The 17,226-nt window shown below is 53.5% G+C and overlaps 2 annotated features.

The window, feature by feature from the left end:
- Positions 2,788–2,957: an enhancer, noted in NCBI's record as "experimental_50922 CRE fragment used in MPRA reporter constructs". NCBI's record gives its function as "activates a minimal promoter by MPRAs in K562 erythroleukemia cells, with activity observed for both the introgressed and non-introgressed 19:30261756 or rs16963291 variant alleles {active_cell/tissue: K562}" and the evidence as "EXISTENCE:reporter gene assay evidence [ECO:0000049][PMID:34662402]".
- Position 2,873: a transcriptional cis regulatory region, noted in NCBI's record as "Neanderthal adaptively introgressed variant 19:30261756 (GRCh37/hg19 assembly coordinates) or rs16963291 in the experimental_50922 CRE". NCBI's record gives its function as "modulates activity of the experimental_50922 enhancer by MPRAs in K562 erythroleukemia cells {active_cell/tissue: K562}" and the evidence as "EXISTENCE:reporter gene assay evidence [ECO:0000049][PMID:34662402]".

Consider the following 17,226-nt stretch of genomic DNA (forward strand, 5'->3'; position numbering starts at 1 on the left):
GCAGCCTCGCTCTCCTGAGCCAAGGGATCATCCTTTCTCAGCCTCCCAAGTAGCTGGGACTACAGGTGTGCACCACCATACCTGGCTATATCTTTTTTTGTAAAGATGAGGTTTCGCTGTGTTGCCCAGGCTGGTCTTGAACTCCCGCCTCAGCCTCCAACGTGCTGGGATTATAGGTGTGAGCCACCACGCCCAGACTAACTGGATCTTCTTTGAGCCTCCCCCACCCTGTGGGGAGGGCAGCCTGGGGATTATAATTCATAAATGACAGAATCGGGTCCTGGGCCCAGATGAACCTTTCCTGAGGTCCCCTGGTGAGTGAGTGACCAAAGAGCTGGCCCTGATGCTCTGGGAAAACGCCTGGGGCCAAGGACAGCCTCTGAGCAGCAGCCGGGCCCTCCTTTCCACCACAGTTTCCAGCCAGAGACCCTGCATGCTTCTGCGCATGGCCACACCCGACCCAGTGGGCCCTTTCACTGCCCAAGGCCGATGCCGCCCATCCGTCCACCACCCGTGTCACACTCACTGGACACATAATTCCTGAGTCCCTACAATGCACAGGTGCTGTTCTAGGCAATGGGGAGAGAGCAGTGAATGAAATAGTCTGGATCCCTGAATCCAGGGAGCTGGACTTCTAGGTGCAGGGAGGCCAATGGGTCCTATGAAGACAGCAAAACAAGTGACGTGATGCACAGGGAGGGGAGAGAAAGGCTTAGTGGAGAGTGACGCCTCTGCACATGGAGAAGAGAGCAGTCATGTACACATCTGGAGGAAGGGAGTTCCAGGCAGGGAACAGCATGTGGAAAGGCCTGGAGTCAGGAAGTGCTCAGCTGGGAATGGCCTGAAAGGCCAGTGGCTGAGGTGCCCTGAGGGAGAGGACCATCCCGAGGAGCATCCTGAGCTCTCCCAGGCTTGGGAAAATCTCCCTTCCTCTCCCTGCTCTGTTATTCCAATTCCCCAGGACGCCAGAAACTCAGACACCTTTGTGCAAGGGCCTCCCTGAGCAGGAGCCCGGCCGGAAAGTGTCAGGGTGACAGTGACTCCCAGTGCCGCCTCTTCAGGGCCATCCTGTGGCCTCCTCCAGCTGGACCCACGAAGCCCACTTCACCCTCAGTCTCCAGAAGTGTCCAAGCTCTGGGGGCTCCACTTGGCCCAGAGAGGTCTGGCCCCACTCCTCACCCCCACCAATCTTCTCTGGGCCCCTTTGACAGAATATGGGGCCACTGCTCTGAAAACACAACAGTGACAACAGAAAGTCTGTGATCAGGGCCCCAAACTGCTGCCCCCAAAGTGGCCTTGACCAGACCACTTACATGACCATTCCTAAGGAGCGGGGTGGCTGGTGGGTGAGCCAGGTGTTGTGCTGGGTCCCACCTCTGCCACCAACTCCCTGTGCACCCTCAAGCCAGCCACCTCCCTCTCCAGCCTCAGTTTCCTCCTGGGTATGGGGAAGGACATAACAATATTAACACCCCCCAGGGTGCACTTGTGAGCTCCTTAGGGCAAATCCAGAATCCCAGGCCCCCGTGCTCTACACAAACCATCTCTGAGACAAGGGAGGGCCTGCTTCATACCCTGTTTCACTCCCCACCAAAAATCCCCTTGACTCCTCTGGATTTAAATTCCTCCCCCAGGAGCTCAAACCGAGTCAAGGCTGCAAATAATCTGCTTTATTTATTTATTTATTTATTTTTGAGACGGAGTCTCACTCTGTCACCCAGGCAGGAGGGCCGTGGTGTGATCTCAGCTCACTGCAACCTCCGCCTCCCAGGTTTCAGCGATTCTCCTGCCTCAGCCTCCTGAACAGCTGGGATACAGGCGTGTGCCACCACCTCCAGCTAATTTTTTTTTGTAATTTTAGTAGAGATGGAGTTTTGCCATGTTGGCCAGGCTTGTCTCGAACTCCTGACCTCAGGTATTCTGCCTGCCTTAGCCTCCCAAAGTGCTGGGATTACAGCCTTGCACCACCATACCTGGCTAATTTTTGTGTTTTTAGTAGAGACAGGGTTTCCCCATGTTGACCAGGCTGATCTCGAACTGACCTCAAGTGATCCGCCCGCCTTGGCCTCCCAAAGTACTGGGATTACAGGAATGAGCCACCATGCCCGGCCTAAGAAGGCGAAATTTGGACCCACACAGGCACCAGGGCTGTGCACGCAGAGAGCAGGCCATGTGAGGACAAGGTGAGCAGGTGGTTGCTGGAGCCTAGGACAGTGGCCTCGGGGGAAAGGGAACCTGCTGGCGCCTTGATGCTGGACCTCCAGCCTCCAGCTTCTGCTGTTCAATCTACACAACCCCCATGGACACATACACCAGCCCCAACACTGACTTCATGTACACACCCCCACACACACTGACCCCAGACTCCCACTGACCCTTACACATGCCCCCCACACCCATGCCCTGCCTTATTTTAACCTGGAGTGCAACGGCACGATCTCGCCTTACTGCAACCTCCCCCTCCAGGGTTCAAGTGATTCTCCTACCTCAGCCTCCCGAGTAGCTAGGATTATAGGCATGCGCCACCACGCCCGGCTAATTTTGTATTTTTAGTGGAGACAGGGTTTCTCCATGTTGGTCAGGCTGGTCTCGAACTCCCGACCTCAGGTGATCCACCTGCCTCAGCCTCCCAAAGTGTTGAGATTACGGGTGTGAGCCACTGCGCCCTGCCACAGTCCATATTCTTGATTATTTATAGTTGGATCAATTCCCTTGTCACAACTTAATCAATGTATCGAATATGCCATCATTCGTCAAATAGGAACCAAGCTAAGATCCCTTCAAGTAATCAACCGTGATTTGTTATCCTGCAGGGTTGCTCATACCAAGAGTGCAGTTCATGACCACGCTTCCTGCACACGTTTCGCTGAAGGAGTGGTTCCATGGTGGATGTGGCTATTTAGATTAAAACAAACACCCAGTTAGTACCATCACCACGGGCACAAGATTGTATGACTGCTTTTCAAAAAGCACTAGTGATGTGGTTATAGTCAATAATGGTTTGTATCACTTTTTGGCTTTTTTTTGAAACAAGGTCTTGCTCTGTTGCCCAGGCTGGAGTGCAGTGGTGTGATCATAGCTCACTGCAACCTCAACTTCCTGCGCTCAAGCGATCCTCCTGTCTCAGCCTCCCAAGTGGCTGTGACTACAGGTGTGTGCCCACTCGCCTAGCTAATTTATTTTTATTTTTTGTAGAGACGAGGTCTCACTATGTTGTCCAGGTTGGTCTCAAACTCCTGGGCTCAAGCAATTCTCCCACCTCAGCCTCTTGAGTAGCTGGGACTACAGGCGCACACCACCATGCCTGGCTTTTTATTTTTATTTTTAGTTTTTGTAGGGATCTCACCATGTTGACCAGGTTGGTCTCCGACTCTTGGGCTCAAGTGGTCCTCCCGCCTTGGCCTCCCAAGTTGCAGCAATTACAAGGCGTGATCCCCTGTGCCTTGCCAATTTTCCATTTTAGTGGATCCTGCTCACTTGGGTTTCTATGGCAGTCATAGCTTCACTCAGTTAAGATTGAGGCATGCCCTGCCTCCTACCTGGACCCCATGGAAGGCCTCCGGGATGAGACTTGTGGGTTGAAGTGTGTCCTCCAGAAAGACATATGGAAGTCCTGACCCCCAGTACCTGTGACTGTGGCCTTATGTGGAAATAGCGTCTTTGCAGATGTAATCAAGATGCAGTGGGGTCATACTTGATTAGGGTGCTTTCTAAATCCAATGACCGGTGGATTGGATTGAGGGGAATTATAGTTCGATCAACTCCTATGGAGAGGGGGATTTGGTTAGAGACACAGAGACACGCAAACAGGGAAGAAGGCCTTGTGAAGACAGAGGCAGAAAGTGGAATGACGCAGCTACAGCAGAGGAAGGCCAGGGATCCCCGGAGCCACCAGAAGCTGGAGGAGGAGAGGAGGGATTCCTCCCTGGAGCCTCCAGGGGGAGCACGACCCTGCCGGCACCTTGATTTCGGGCTCAGCCTCCAGAAGCATGGGAGAACAAATATCTGCTGTTTTAAAGCCACCACGTCTGTGACAATTTGTTACGGTGACCACAGGAAAATAATCCAGGGACTGCATCTAGAATTTACCATGTGCCTCATGCCACTATCACTGGCACAGGCTGAAGCCTTTCTCCTTTTTCCTCTGGAGAAGACCATCTTCTCCTCCAGTAGTCTAAGCAGTTCTCAGCCCAGGGATTCCAGCAAGTGTCTCAAAGCCACACACTCGGAGAGACGACGGCCACATGACCTGGCTCAGCAGGTGGCTCTGCTGCCTTTCACAGGAGTTTGCCTCTCTGTTCAGGGTGCCACACAGGGACAGCCTTGGGGCAGACACTCTGCTGTTTATTATTATTATTATTATTGAGACATAGTCTCACTCTATCACCCAGGCTAGAGGGCAGTGGCATGATCTCGGCTCACTGCAACCTCCGCCTCCTGGGTTCAAGCAAGTCTCCTGCCTCAGCCTCCCGAGGAGCTGGGATTACAGGTGTGCACCACCACGTCCACTAATTTTTGTATTTTTAGCAGAGACGGGGTTTTGCCATGTTGGCCAGGCTAGTCTCGAACTCCTGGCCTCAAGTGATCCACCCGCCTCAGCCTCCTAAAGTGCTGAGATTACAGGAGTGAGCCACTGTGCCGAGCCTAGCTGTTTATTATTATTACATTTTTTAAGAGATAGGATCTTGCTATGCTGCTCAGACTGGTCTCAAACTCCTGGGCTCAAGTGATCCTCCTACCTTGGCCTCCCAAAGTGCTGGCATAACAGGCATGAGCCACCGTGCCCAGGCAGCCTTGCTAAGCACACCTTGCACTCCTGCTGCACTACTCCTGTGTGAGGCCATGGAGACATCTGCTACATTGTAGATACTATTGGATACTTTTCAAGTATCACACAGCCTACAATTTCCAACAGTGCACTCCATTCAGCTCCCATGGGACGGATGAGTGTCACAGGGCAGCTCCACACGCAGATCAGGGAGAGGGTGGATATCACCCCCATCTTCCTGTGGCTCTGAGAAAAGGGGTGGGTGCCCGGCGTCAGGGCAGCTGACTTCACCCAGGAGGGGCCACCTGCCCAGTTACTCGGGCCTCCACTTCCCTGCACTCAGGGCACTTTGTTGGAAGAGGGCTTGTCTGGCCATGAATGGCCTGAAAGCTGCGAGAATGGCTTAACACACCTGAAGAAGGGACATGTATATGCTGGGGGCTGGCACTCTCCCACATTAGCTCTTTTGCACCATTGTCATGGGGATCTTGGGGCTCAGAGAGGAAAGTGACCTGCATGAGCTCATGCAGAGGCATGTGGCAGGACCATCGCTTGAACCTGGCACTGGAGGGCCCTGGGCTCAGCACCTCGGGCACCTAGAGTGAGGGCATCCCCAAGGTCCATGTGACCCAGAGCACGGCTCCGGCCACTCCCTCCCGGAAATGGATCGGTGAACAGAGAGGCTGAGGACCTCTTGCAATGCTGCCCAGACTGCATGGAGAAGCCCGTGGAGACATCTGCTACGTTGTAGATACTACTGGACATTTTTCTTTTTTTTTCTTTTCTTTTTTTTTTTTTTTTGAGATGGAGTCTCGCTCTGTCACCCAGGCTAGAGTGCAGTGGAGCGATCTCGGCTCACTGCAAGCTCTGCTTCCCGGGTTCACGCCATTCTCCTGCCTCAGCCTCCCGAGTAGCTGGGACTACAGGCGCCCGCCACCACACCCGGCTAATTTTTTTTTTTGTATTTTTAGTAGAGATGGGGTTTCACCGTGTTAGCCAGGATGGTCTCGATCTCCTGACCTCGTGATCCACCCATCTCGGCCTCCCAAAGTGCTGGGATTACAGGCGTAAGCCACCGCACCCGGCCTACTACTGGACATTTTTCAAGTATCACACAGCCTATAATTTCCAACAGTGCATTCCATTCAGCTCCCATGGGGCGGATGGGTGTCACAGGGCAGCCCCACATGCAGATCATGGAGAGGGTGGATATCATCCCATCTTCCTGTGGCTCTGAGAAGCTTCAGAAGCCTCAGAAGCACCCCCTGTAGCGCCAGAGAGCTCAGACAGCTTGAGGGCCTGCAGCCCAGCCAGCCCCTGCCCCACAGGCCAGGCTCCAGCCTGGCCCTTGCAGGGGTGTGCTGTTTCCAATGGGTGCCATGCTGTGCACATCCACGGGGCAGGAGGGAAAGCTGGGGGTTGCCATGGGCTGCCTGGGTTGGAGGGGAGCTGGGATTCTATGGTCACCCTCTTTCACATCTTCTGACGCATCCTCTCTCTGGACCCTCAGGCAGTCCCTGTCCTCAGATAAGCCCCGCTCACTGAGACGGTGATGCTTAACTCAGGTATGTGTCTAATGACAGGGTCTTGCAGAAGGGACCAGCCTGAGGGACTAGGACTGCCTCACCTTTGCAAGTCCTCAATTGTCCAAGGCTGGCCTCCTGGAATGGGAAGGAAGCAAGGTCCCCCGAGGCATTCATACCCTTATTTCTCACAAAAAAAAAAGTCAAGTCTCTTGTTCCATCGGGTGCCCTCTGGGACCAAGTGACTGTCTCAGGGGCAGGGTGAGACAGTTTAAATGATCATGGCCTCTGCCTGACCCATGTGGCTGAAGTGAGGGAGGGGTGGCTTCCCCAAGCATCCATATGTGTGGGGGGTGCTGTTTCCAGAAGGACGGTGGGGGTCCCAGGCCGAGCTTAGGAGTTCACTGCAGCCTCAAGAGGAAGGGCTTGGGGAGGTGGCATTTGCATGGGCTTTGAAGAATAGGCACCACCTGCATGCACAGAGAGAGAGGAGCACCATAGCGAGAAGGAATGGTGCAGACACAGGCCCTGCGGTACTTTTGGGTAGGGGGTGTAACAGAGTGCGGCTGCTGTGTGGGGAGTGTGCTCTGGGGTTCAGAACACCAGAACCATGTCCCTGCCAGCTGGCAAGGTGCCCTCAGGAAAAGGTGCCCTTCTGGCCTGCTACAGTCCCCAAAAGGTACACAGTATGGTAAATGGAGCACAGAATGGCTTATGGCCAGACGCTCTTGTGCAGTGCACAACATGCACAACTGTGTGTAGTGGCCTGACCAGGATATCAACACTGGACTGGGAAGACATGGCGCCTCCTCTCTGGGCTGAATAGTGTGTGTGTGTGTGTGTGTGTGTGTGTGTGTGTGTGTGTGTGTATGTGTGTGTACACCCCACAGTGCTTCACTGGGATCCAGCCTCCAGCAGCAACAAGACACAAATGGAACAAGGGTGACTGCCCCCAGCTGACAGGTGAGAGGTTGAGAGCCAGCAGCCAGCTCTGCAAGCCTGCTGCACGCTCAGGAGCGAGCACTCCTCCAAGCAGGCACCTCCCAGAGCAACAGGAAGCAATTCATCAGCAGCTGAGGCCCTGCTCCCAGGCCCTGCAGCCTGTGGGGACTCTGCAGCCCAATGGACAGGCCTCCGATCCCCCCACCCCTAGCCCACAAAGAGGCCAGAGGCAGCGCCACGCGCCAATTACAGGAGCCAATTAATTCACACTTAACAGGGGTATTTTCTTTTACTGCGCAGAACCGAGGGGCATAAAACCCTGATTCGTCTTCTGTGGCTGGGTTTGCTCTCTGCGTGCTCATATCCTTTAATCACTCCTGCCACAGACCAGGGGCCAAACCCTCGCCAGCGAGGGGAGCCACGCGGGCGATTCCCCATTAACAATCTGGTGGGGAGGCCACGCCGGCTGTGCTGTTTACAGTTCCGTTTCCCCTCGGCTGCTCCCAGAAGTTTCCATAAAAACAGATGTAAGGTAATCAAAGACTTCCCAGCCCCGGGCCTCTCTGCTCCTGAAGGCTTCCATGGAGCCGGCTCCCTCTGCTGGGGTTTGTGCTTCCAAAAGACTCTTAAAGCAGCCCTAAAATCTCTCCCCAGACAGGCAGACTCTTCTCTGGCAGACTCTGCAATCATTTGTCAAGTATTTTATGGTCAATAATAATAGTAATAACACCTTTGCTGAGCTTGGTGCCTTTTTCAATGACTCTCAGAGCCATGCCGTGAGATCCCGGTGGCATCGCAATGGCTGATGACAGGTGTCTTATTCCCATTTTGCAGATGGAAAGGAGAAGGCAGTTTGGGGAAGAAACCAGCCTCAGCACCATCTCCCCTGGGTCTAACATTCCAGGAGAAAGGTGGGCACTGTCCGGCTCCTTGGTGGCAGGCCTGCTGCTGGCCTTGTCCCTCTCTTCTTATTCACTGGGCCTCTGTCCAGGGCCAAGGAACCTGAAGCCCAGTGTTGGGGGTAGGGACGTGGCCAGAACACCAGGTGGTATGGCTGGGCACGGTGGCTCACTCCTGTAATCCTAGCACGTTGTGAGGCCGAGGTGGAGCATCACTTGAGCCCAGGAGTCTGAGGCTGCAGTGAGCTATGATCGTGCAACTGTACTCTAGCCTGGGCCATAGAGTGAGACCCTGTCTCTAAACAAATAAATAAATAGGCTGGGTGTGGTGGCTCACGCCTATAATCCCAGCACTTTGGGAGGCCGAGGCAGGCGGATCACCTGAGGTCAGGAGTTCGAGACCAGCCTGGCCAACATGGTGAAATCCCGCCTCTAGTAAAAATACAAAAATTAGCCGGGTATGGTGGTGGGTGCCTGTAATCTCACCTGCTTGGGAGGCTGAGGCAGGAGAATCACTTGAACCCAGGAGGCGGAGGTTGCAGTGAGCCGAGATCATGCCACTTCACTCCAGCCTGAGCGACCGAGTGACTCCGTCTCAAAAATAAACAAACAGGATAGACAGCGTAAACCCTGATGAACACTAGAATTTCAGACAATCCTACTGCCCTGAAGGCTGGGCCCAACAGACACATTTCACAGATGGAAATCTTGGGAAGGGCCAAAGCAAGAACCCCTGGCCACCCCCTGGAAGACCTAAGCCTTAAAGCCCCTGGCCCATACCCTCTGCACCTCACCACATTGATGTCAGCCTAAGCTGACATCAGTGGATGAAAAAGTGATGAAAAAGTGACTTTTAGGCTGGGCGCGGTGGGTCATGCCTGTAATCTCAGCACTTTGGGAGGCTGAGGTGCATGGATCACCAGAGGTCAGAAGTTCGAGACTAGCCTGGCCAACAAGGTGAAACCCTGTCTCTAGTAAAAATGCAAAATTTAGCCGGGTGTGGTGGTGTGCACCTGTAATCCCAGCTACTCGAGAGGCTGAGACAGGAGAATCACTAGAACCTCAGAGGTGGAGGCTGCAGTGAGCCATGAAATGCACCACTGCCCTCCAGCGTGGGCGACAGAGTGAGACTCTGTCTCAAAAGAAAATTTTTAAAAAGGACTTTAAAATCAAACAGCCTAGATTGCACATGTGTGATATTGGTGGGTCTCCAGCCCCTGCCTCCATCCTGAGAAGCATCCTTTTTGGGGAATTTCCTGATGGGTAGAGTCTTGGCAGGAGGGCGATCCCCCTTGCCTCCCTCTCACTGCCCTTTCACACGACAAAGACCAGGGTGGGCTCCAACCTGACTCTGCCACTGCCTGGTCTACCACATGGCAGGGGTGAGAGCAGGGCCCAGCCAATCCGATGCCTGCTTCCAGGGCTGCAGGTCTTAAGCCAGAGATGCCAGGAGGAAGGGAACCTCTCCTGGGAGGTTGGGTTTCTCTGGTTTATCATAACTCTTGAGGCTCAGAGAGGAAAGTGACCTGTGTGAGCTCACACAGAGGCATGTGGCAGGGCCATCGCTTGAAGCTGGCACTGGAAGGCCCTGGACTCAGCACCTCGGGCACCTACAGCGAGGGCATCACGAATGTCCATGTGACCCAGAGCACGGCTCCAGCCACTCCCTCCTGGAGGCAAAACAGAGAACAGAGAGGCTGAGTACCCCTTGGCTGCAAGGTGTCCCTGTCTCAGAAGCATCAGGGGCAGCCCCAAACCCCCACCCCCGAGTTGGCTCAGTCAGCTCCAGGACAGATCTCAGAGGTCCTCACTCTGCAGCTCAGCCAGCCCTTGCCTGATGGGCCCCGCGCCAGTCCAGCCCTTGCAAAGGGAAAGCCGGAACATATTTTAGTGTGAGCCCCTTGTTGAGATGAGGGCTGACCACAGGCCCTGGGAATTCCTGAGAAGATTCCTCTGGGCTCTTTCCAATGGGAAGCCCTTTTTGTTTGAGATGGCTGGAGTTAGTTCTTGTCACCTGCAACCAAAACCCAGACTGGCATGACTTCAGGATCAGCTGTGCCCAGGATGATCGTGGTTAACATGTCAGCAGCATCTGCTACACGCTAGATGCCCTCCACATTCCTTAGTTAGTTCCCACAAGAGCCCTGGTATTATGTCTCCCACTGCACAGCCAAGGTTATTGAGGCACAGAGAGGTTAAGAAATGTGTCCAGTGTCACACAGCTAGCAACTCCAGCCATCTGTCCCCAGAGCCTCCATACTTGAGGAGTAAGCTGGTCTTGCTTGAGAGAGCACTGTGGTTTCTTGGATCTAAGAGTGGAAGTGGGATGGAAGCTCTGGGTGTGTGCTTTATGGGGAGGTGCATGAAGTGAACCCCTCTGCTATGGGGGTGTGTGGGCCTTGGAGGAATCCTGGTCCCGGGTGAGGCAGGAGTGTGTCTTGCTTCTAGGACCACTCCAGGCAGGGCCTCCCTGGATGCCGCAAGTGCAGTGGGTCTGCCCTGGCCCAGGCCCTCATCACAGCTGAGAAAGCTCTGCAGGGTCACTGTGGGTGCTAGAACAGGCAGCTGGAATGCTGCAGTGGGGGAAACAGGGACCACAGGGGTGAGCTCCAGTTTTCCACTGCTTTTTTCAGGGGCCAACTGGTGAGTCCAAGGAGGAGAAGCCAGTGAGCAGAGGGGCTTCCCCCAGTCCCAGCCAAAGCAGCTCCCCTGGGCCTGCTTTACCTCCTCAACTTCCACAGAGGATCCCATTTGAGCAAAGGACTCTCCTTAGCTGGCAGGAGGTTAAGTCTGCAGTGGCTGATGGCATCTCTACCACCACTCAGGGACCACCTGCCAGAGAAGGAAGCCACAGCAGAGGAGAACAGAGACCAAGAAAGGACCTGTCAATACTATTTAAGCCCCTGGATCCAGCCAGGACTGAAGTCCCTGGACTTGCTGATAGCAAGAACCAATCACTTCCTAATGTTATTTCAGTTGCACTTGAGCTGGTTGATTCATGTTTCTCTTGTTTGTCTCTGAATGGGTCTTGAGGAACATGGGTCTCATACCAGAATAAGTTCCAGCTTCCCCTGTCTTAAAGAGTCTGCTATGGCCGGGTGCAGTGGCTCACGCCTGTAATCCCAGCACTTTGGGAGGCTGAGGCAGGCGTATAGCCTGAGGTCAGGAGTTCCAGACCACCCTGGCCAACATGGTGAAATCCCTTCTCTACTAAACATACAGAAAATTAGCCAGGCATGGCGGCTCAGGCCTGTAATTCCACCTACTCAGGAAGCTAAGGCAGGAGAATCACTTGAATTTAGGAGGTGGAGGTTGCAGTGAGCTGAGCCTGGGCGACAGAGTGAGACTCCATCTAAAAAAAAAAAGAAAAAAAAAAAAAAGAGCTGGGAGTGGTGGCTCACGCCTGTAATCCCAGCACTTTGGGAGGCCAAGATGGGTGGATCACCTGAGGTCGGGAGTTTGAGACCAGCCTGACCAACATGGCGAAACCCCATCTCTAATAAAAATACAAAAATTAGCCGGGCGTGGTGGGGTGCATCTGTAATCCCAGCTACTCAGGAGACTGAGGCAGGAGAATCGCTTGAATCCAGGAGGCGGAGATTGCAGTGAGCCGAGAGCGCGCCACTACACTCCAGCCTGGGCGACAGAGCGAGATTTCGTCTCAAAAAAAAAAGAAAAAGAAAAAGAAGAAAGTCTGCTGCTATCATACTAGACAGAGAAATTCCAACACCTCTGGAGGGGCTGCCCTTCCTTAGTCCGATTAGGAGAAGAAATGGCAGCTGGCACTCAACCACCACACTCCCCTGAGGCTACTCCAGGGGCAGATGTCAAGGACCAGAGGCCACCGGTTCTGCGAGGGGCAGGGTGGAGGGTGTGGGTGGAGGTATGAACCACCATGAATCTCAGAACTCTGCAGTCGGGGCCGCGGCAGCACCACTCTTGTTCTCCCAGCCTGGGGGTCCTCTCCCACCGCAGCACCTCCTCCTGTTGTTCTCCACCCAGCAGCCTGGGGGAGCTGCCAACAGAAGCCAACCCCATCTCTCCTTGCTCAGAACCAGCCAGCAGCTTCTCGTGCACCTTAGGTGTGTGTGCCTCGGCCCCAGCCTGGCCTCTCCACTCTCCCCTCTGCCCTCAGCTCCAGCCTCTCTGGCCTTTTCTCTCATTGTAGGACAAGCCTGGCTTGCTCTGCCCAAAACTTGCAGTGCACGAGGGCTGCTGGCCCCTCTTCTTCCTCCAGGCTCAGCCCCAAAGTCACCTCCCCCAGACCAGCCCTTCCTCTCCCTTTGCAGCAACAACGACCTCTCCCTTTATTACCTGCTTTTCCCCACTGGAAGGGAAGACCTGGGCCGGGCATAGTGGGTCATGCCCATAATCCCAACACTTTGGGAGGCCGAGATGGGCAGATCACCTGAGGTCAGGAGTTTGAGACCAGCCTAGCCAACATGGTGAAACCCCATCTCTAGTAAAAATACAAAAATTATCCAGGTGTGGTGGTGGGTGCCTGTAATCCCACCTACTCAAGAGGCTGAGGCAGGAGAATCACTTGAACCCAGGAGGCAGAGGTTGCAGTGAGCCAAGATTGTGCTACTGCACTCCAGCCTGAGCGACAGAGAGAGACTCCATCTTAAAAAAAAAAAAAAGAAAAAAGCTGGGTATGGTGAGGAGCACCTATAGTTCCAGCTACTCAAAAGGCTGAAGCAGGAGGATCACTTGAGCCCAGGAGTTTGAGGCTGCAGTGAGCTATGATGGTGCCAGTCCACTCCAGCCTTGGTGAAAGAGTGAGACCAAAGAGAGAGAAAGAAAGAGAGAGAAAGAGAAGACCTTAGCACTGCTATGACCCTGGTCTGTGGAAGAGGATCCTATACAGTGTCCACTCAACAAACACTTGTGGAATGAATGAATGAGGGAGTGAAGGAATGAATGAATGAATAATAATGGGCATGGCCTCTAATGTCTTGCCAATGAATTCCCTCCCCTCCTGGCCACCCACACCTCATCTCCACCACACAAAACTCACCCTCTTCATCCTTCTTCCAGAAAATGTCCAGCACCCATGATCGGGGGCCTTTCTTACTTCCCCAAAGTGCTCTCTGCTCACGCCAGAAATCATCCCAGGAGGACCAGCCCCAGCCCGTCCTGGCTGCCCCAAGTGATGCCGGGCTCCAGCAGGTGCTGTTCCAAGGAGCGGTGGCCCAGCAGAATGGTGGGTTTGTTGTTTTTTTGTTTTTTTTTTTTTCATATGAGGGAAAAATTAGCCTTCCTTACCAGACAAGAATGACAATTTACAGAAAACTATGCCTTGAATTCATAATCTGTAATGAGCGGAAATGGTATTCCATAGTAATCCATCCCAACTGACTCGCTATTGTACACGCACCTGCTAACATTTTTTAAGCTGGGACTTTATGGAAAGGACATTTTGATTGCTTCTGAAGTTTGCTGAGCAATTCCCCCTCTCTCTCAGGCATACGGTCTTTGTGCTGGAAATTTCCCTCGTGGCTCCATGCGCGGACTGGCAGACGGGCACGTGGGCCCACACGCGGGCAGCACACACGCAGCCGCAGCCCCCTCATTGGCATGGCTCTAGTGGGGGCCTCTGCAGGTGCCGGGCTACAGAGATGGAAGCGGGGAGAGTGGAATCACAGTTGGCACCTGTGCCGAGCTTGCCTGAGGAGCTGCACACTGCGGTGCCTGGCGGAATCGGAGATGCTTTCCAGCACTGGAGGGCAGGGACGGAGCACGGGACCGGGAAGGACAAGGGCTTGGGTTGGGTCGCCCCTGGGGCCATTGGGGCCTGGCTTGTGGCACCCGAGCACCAGGATGTGGGAAGGCTGGGTGTGCAAGGACAGGTCTCACGCCCACCCCCTCAAACGCCTGGGTTTTGCTCATACGGAAGTCACTCTAGGCCCCAATTGGCAGCCGCCCCACTCAGTCCCCAGCTCGGGCCTCCAGCCCAGCACTGACACAAACAGGTGGTGGACAGCTTGCTCTGCATGGCCCCTACAGACTGAGAGCCCCCTGAGGCAGGACCAAGGCTGCCAACGTGCGCCTGGGCCTTGCCCAGCTCTGGCATGCAGTAGGTGAAGGCAGTGCCTCCAGTCGGAGCCAGGGTCCTGGTGGAGGCTCTGCCTCCAGGCAGTGGGTCCGGCACACTGATACTCAGCCCCTGCAGCCTGTGGCTCCCCAGGGCATGTTCTCGTGGCCTCACAGACACTGAGGTTCAGAGATCACGGAGCCGTGAGTCTTTCTTTCCACTGCAGGACCTGTTGTGGTCCACGCCATCAGGAAAGTGGTAGTCAGGGCAGTCTATAACCCAGCAACGACACGGGGATACGAGAAGCTGGGCACGTGACGTCCACTGAGGCTGTCTCTGTGGGAACGAGTATTTAGGAACATTCAAAGTGGCAAGCAGTAGGGTGGTGACTCAAGAAGCTGTGGAGGCCGGGCGCGGTGGCTCAAGTCTGTAATCCCAGCACTTTGGGAGGCCGAGGCGGGCAGATCATCTGAGGTCAGGAGTTCAAGCCCGGCCTGGTCAACATGGTGAAACCTCGTCTCTACTAAAAATATAAAAATCAGCCGGGCGTGGTGGCAGGCACCTGTAATCCCAGCTACTCAGGAGGCTGAGGCACGAGAATTGCTTGAACCCAGGAGGCAGAGTTTGCAGTGAGTCGAGATCACGCCAATGCACTCCAGCCTGGGTGATAGAGTGAGATTCAGTCTCAAAAAAAAAAAAAAAAAAAAAAAAAAAAAGAAGAAGCTGTGAAACTCCAGGCCACAATTACAGTAACAAAAAGAATGGGGGTATTCTCGTATGGAGGAAGCGCCAGAAAATGTTATTCCTGAAAAAGAAAGTAAGCGTTAAATAAAGTTAGGTGTGTGTGCGCATACACACAATGTGACCCCACTTTTTGTTTTGAGAGAGTCTCACTCTGTGGCCCAGGCTGAAGTGCAGTGAGGCGATCACAGCTCACTGTAAACTCCATCTCGACTCCAGCAATCCTCCCACCTCAGCCTCTTAAGTGACTGGGACTACAGGTATGTGCCACCACACCTGGCTAATTTTTAAATTGTTTGAAGAAAAAAAGAGAACAAAAGAAAATAATAATAATAATAATAAAATAAATTATTTAAAGAGACAAAGTCTCCCTATGTTGCCCAAACTGGTCTTGAACTCCTGGGCTCAAGTGATCCTCCTGCCTTGGCCTCCCAAAGTGCTGGGATTACAGGCAGGAGCCACCATGCCTAACCCCCACTTATTTTTTAGAATCTTATGAAACGACACCATATGTCATGATTAGGTGCATCCACATGTGTGTGAGTACACACACACGTCCATCCACATACAAACATGTAAGATATGTGGAGGACGCCATGGCAGGGAGCAACGCACACTATCCACACATCCTCCTCTGGGGGCGAGAGGTGGGTCTGGAGCTGGCAATAAAGTAGCGCTTGGGCCTTATCTGTCATGTTGGAATTCTTCTTCTTATAATGAGGATGTATTCATGCATGCTTCTGTAATTAAAAACTAATAATCCTTTTAAAAGAAAGGAAATGCTAGGAGGCTGGCTTCTGCCCTCACGTACCTGATCACAGTGATATGGGACGGTCCACTCAACCCGGACCTTCATGAAATCCTCCTGATTATTTCTGTTCGTACACTCCTTCATTCATTCGACAGGTGCCATCCGCCTGTCATTCATTCATTCAGCAAGGACTCACTGAACACCTGCTCAGGCTCCGGCTGCAGCCATGAACACGACAGACAAGGTCCCTGTCCCAGGAGTTCACATTCGTGTGTGTGTGTGTGTGCAGGCGCGCATGTGTGTGTGCACGTGTGTGTCTGTGTGTGTATCTGTGTGTGTCTGTATGTGCATCTGTGTGTGTCTGTATGTGTGTGTGTGTCTGTATGTGTGCACATGTGTGTCTGTGTGTGTATCTGTGTGTCCATATGTGTTTCTGTGTGTGTCTGTCTGTGTGTCTCTGTGTGTGTGTCTGTGTGTGTGGGTCTTCCATGGCCCCACAGGACTCCTGGAGAGAGAAGAGAGGAACATTGGGCAGTGGCTGTCCTTCACCCTTGGGCTGAAGGTGTGGGGAGAAGAGGGGACTGTAAATAGGCTGCCCCTGAGTGTGCAGAAATCACATATTGGCCAGAAGATGTAATGACAGGGGTCTTCAGGCCCAGCTCAAATGCCCCCTCTTCTTGGGAGCTCTGCCTAGAACCCCCACTCCAGCCACTGGCCACACGGGACCCTCAGCCGAGCTTCCCAGCACAATAATGTTCTGCTAGTAGCTCCAGGTTGGACTCACAGACTGGCAACCGGCAGGCCATGAGCAGGCTACTGAGATATTTTGCCATGTTTGCCTGGTGGGTTACCTAGCCCACTTCACTTCCTGCCAGCACTTGGGTTTGTAGGCCCCGCTTCATAGTACACCTGGATGTGCATTTGTCTGATTCCCCACCCCTAATCTTGCTTGCTGTGTCACAGTCACTCAGGGCCAGTCTATTCCCAGTAGGTGGCTGGATGGGTGGCTGGATGAATGGATAAATGGGTGGGTGGGAGGATGGATAGATGGATGAATGAGTGGTAGATAGATTGATGGGTGTGTGGACAGACAGAAAGATGGATAGATGGGCAGGTGGGTGGATAGGTGGATGGGTGGATGGGTGGAAGGATGGATGAATGGATGGGTGGATGGATGAGTGGATCATTGGGTGGGAGGATGAATGGATGGATGAATGGGTGGGTGGGTAAATGGACAGATGGGTGGATAAATGAGTGGATGGGTGGGTGTGGGTGGGTTGTTGAGTGAATGGATTGGTGAGTGGGTGGATGGATAGATGGGTGGATGTTTGGATGGATGGATGGGTAGATGAGTGAATGGATGGATGGATGGAAGGGTGGGTAGATGGATGGATGGATGGATGGATGGATGGATGGACGGATGGATAGATGAATGAATGGATGGGTGGATGGAAGTGTGGGTAGATGGGTGGATAGGTGGGTGGGTGGGTGAATGGGTGGATAGATGGATTGGTGGGTGGATGGGTGAGTGATTAGATGGATGGATGGACAGATGAACCAAATAAAAT

This window comes from Homo sapiens, chromosome 19, assembly GCF_000001405.40.
Source record: "Homo sapiens chromosome 19, GRCh38.p14 Primary Assembly".
Lineage (NCBI taxonomy): Eukaryota > Metazoa > Chordata > Mammalia > Primates > Hominidae > Homo > Homo sapiens.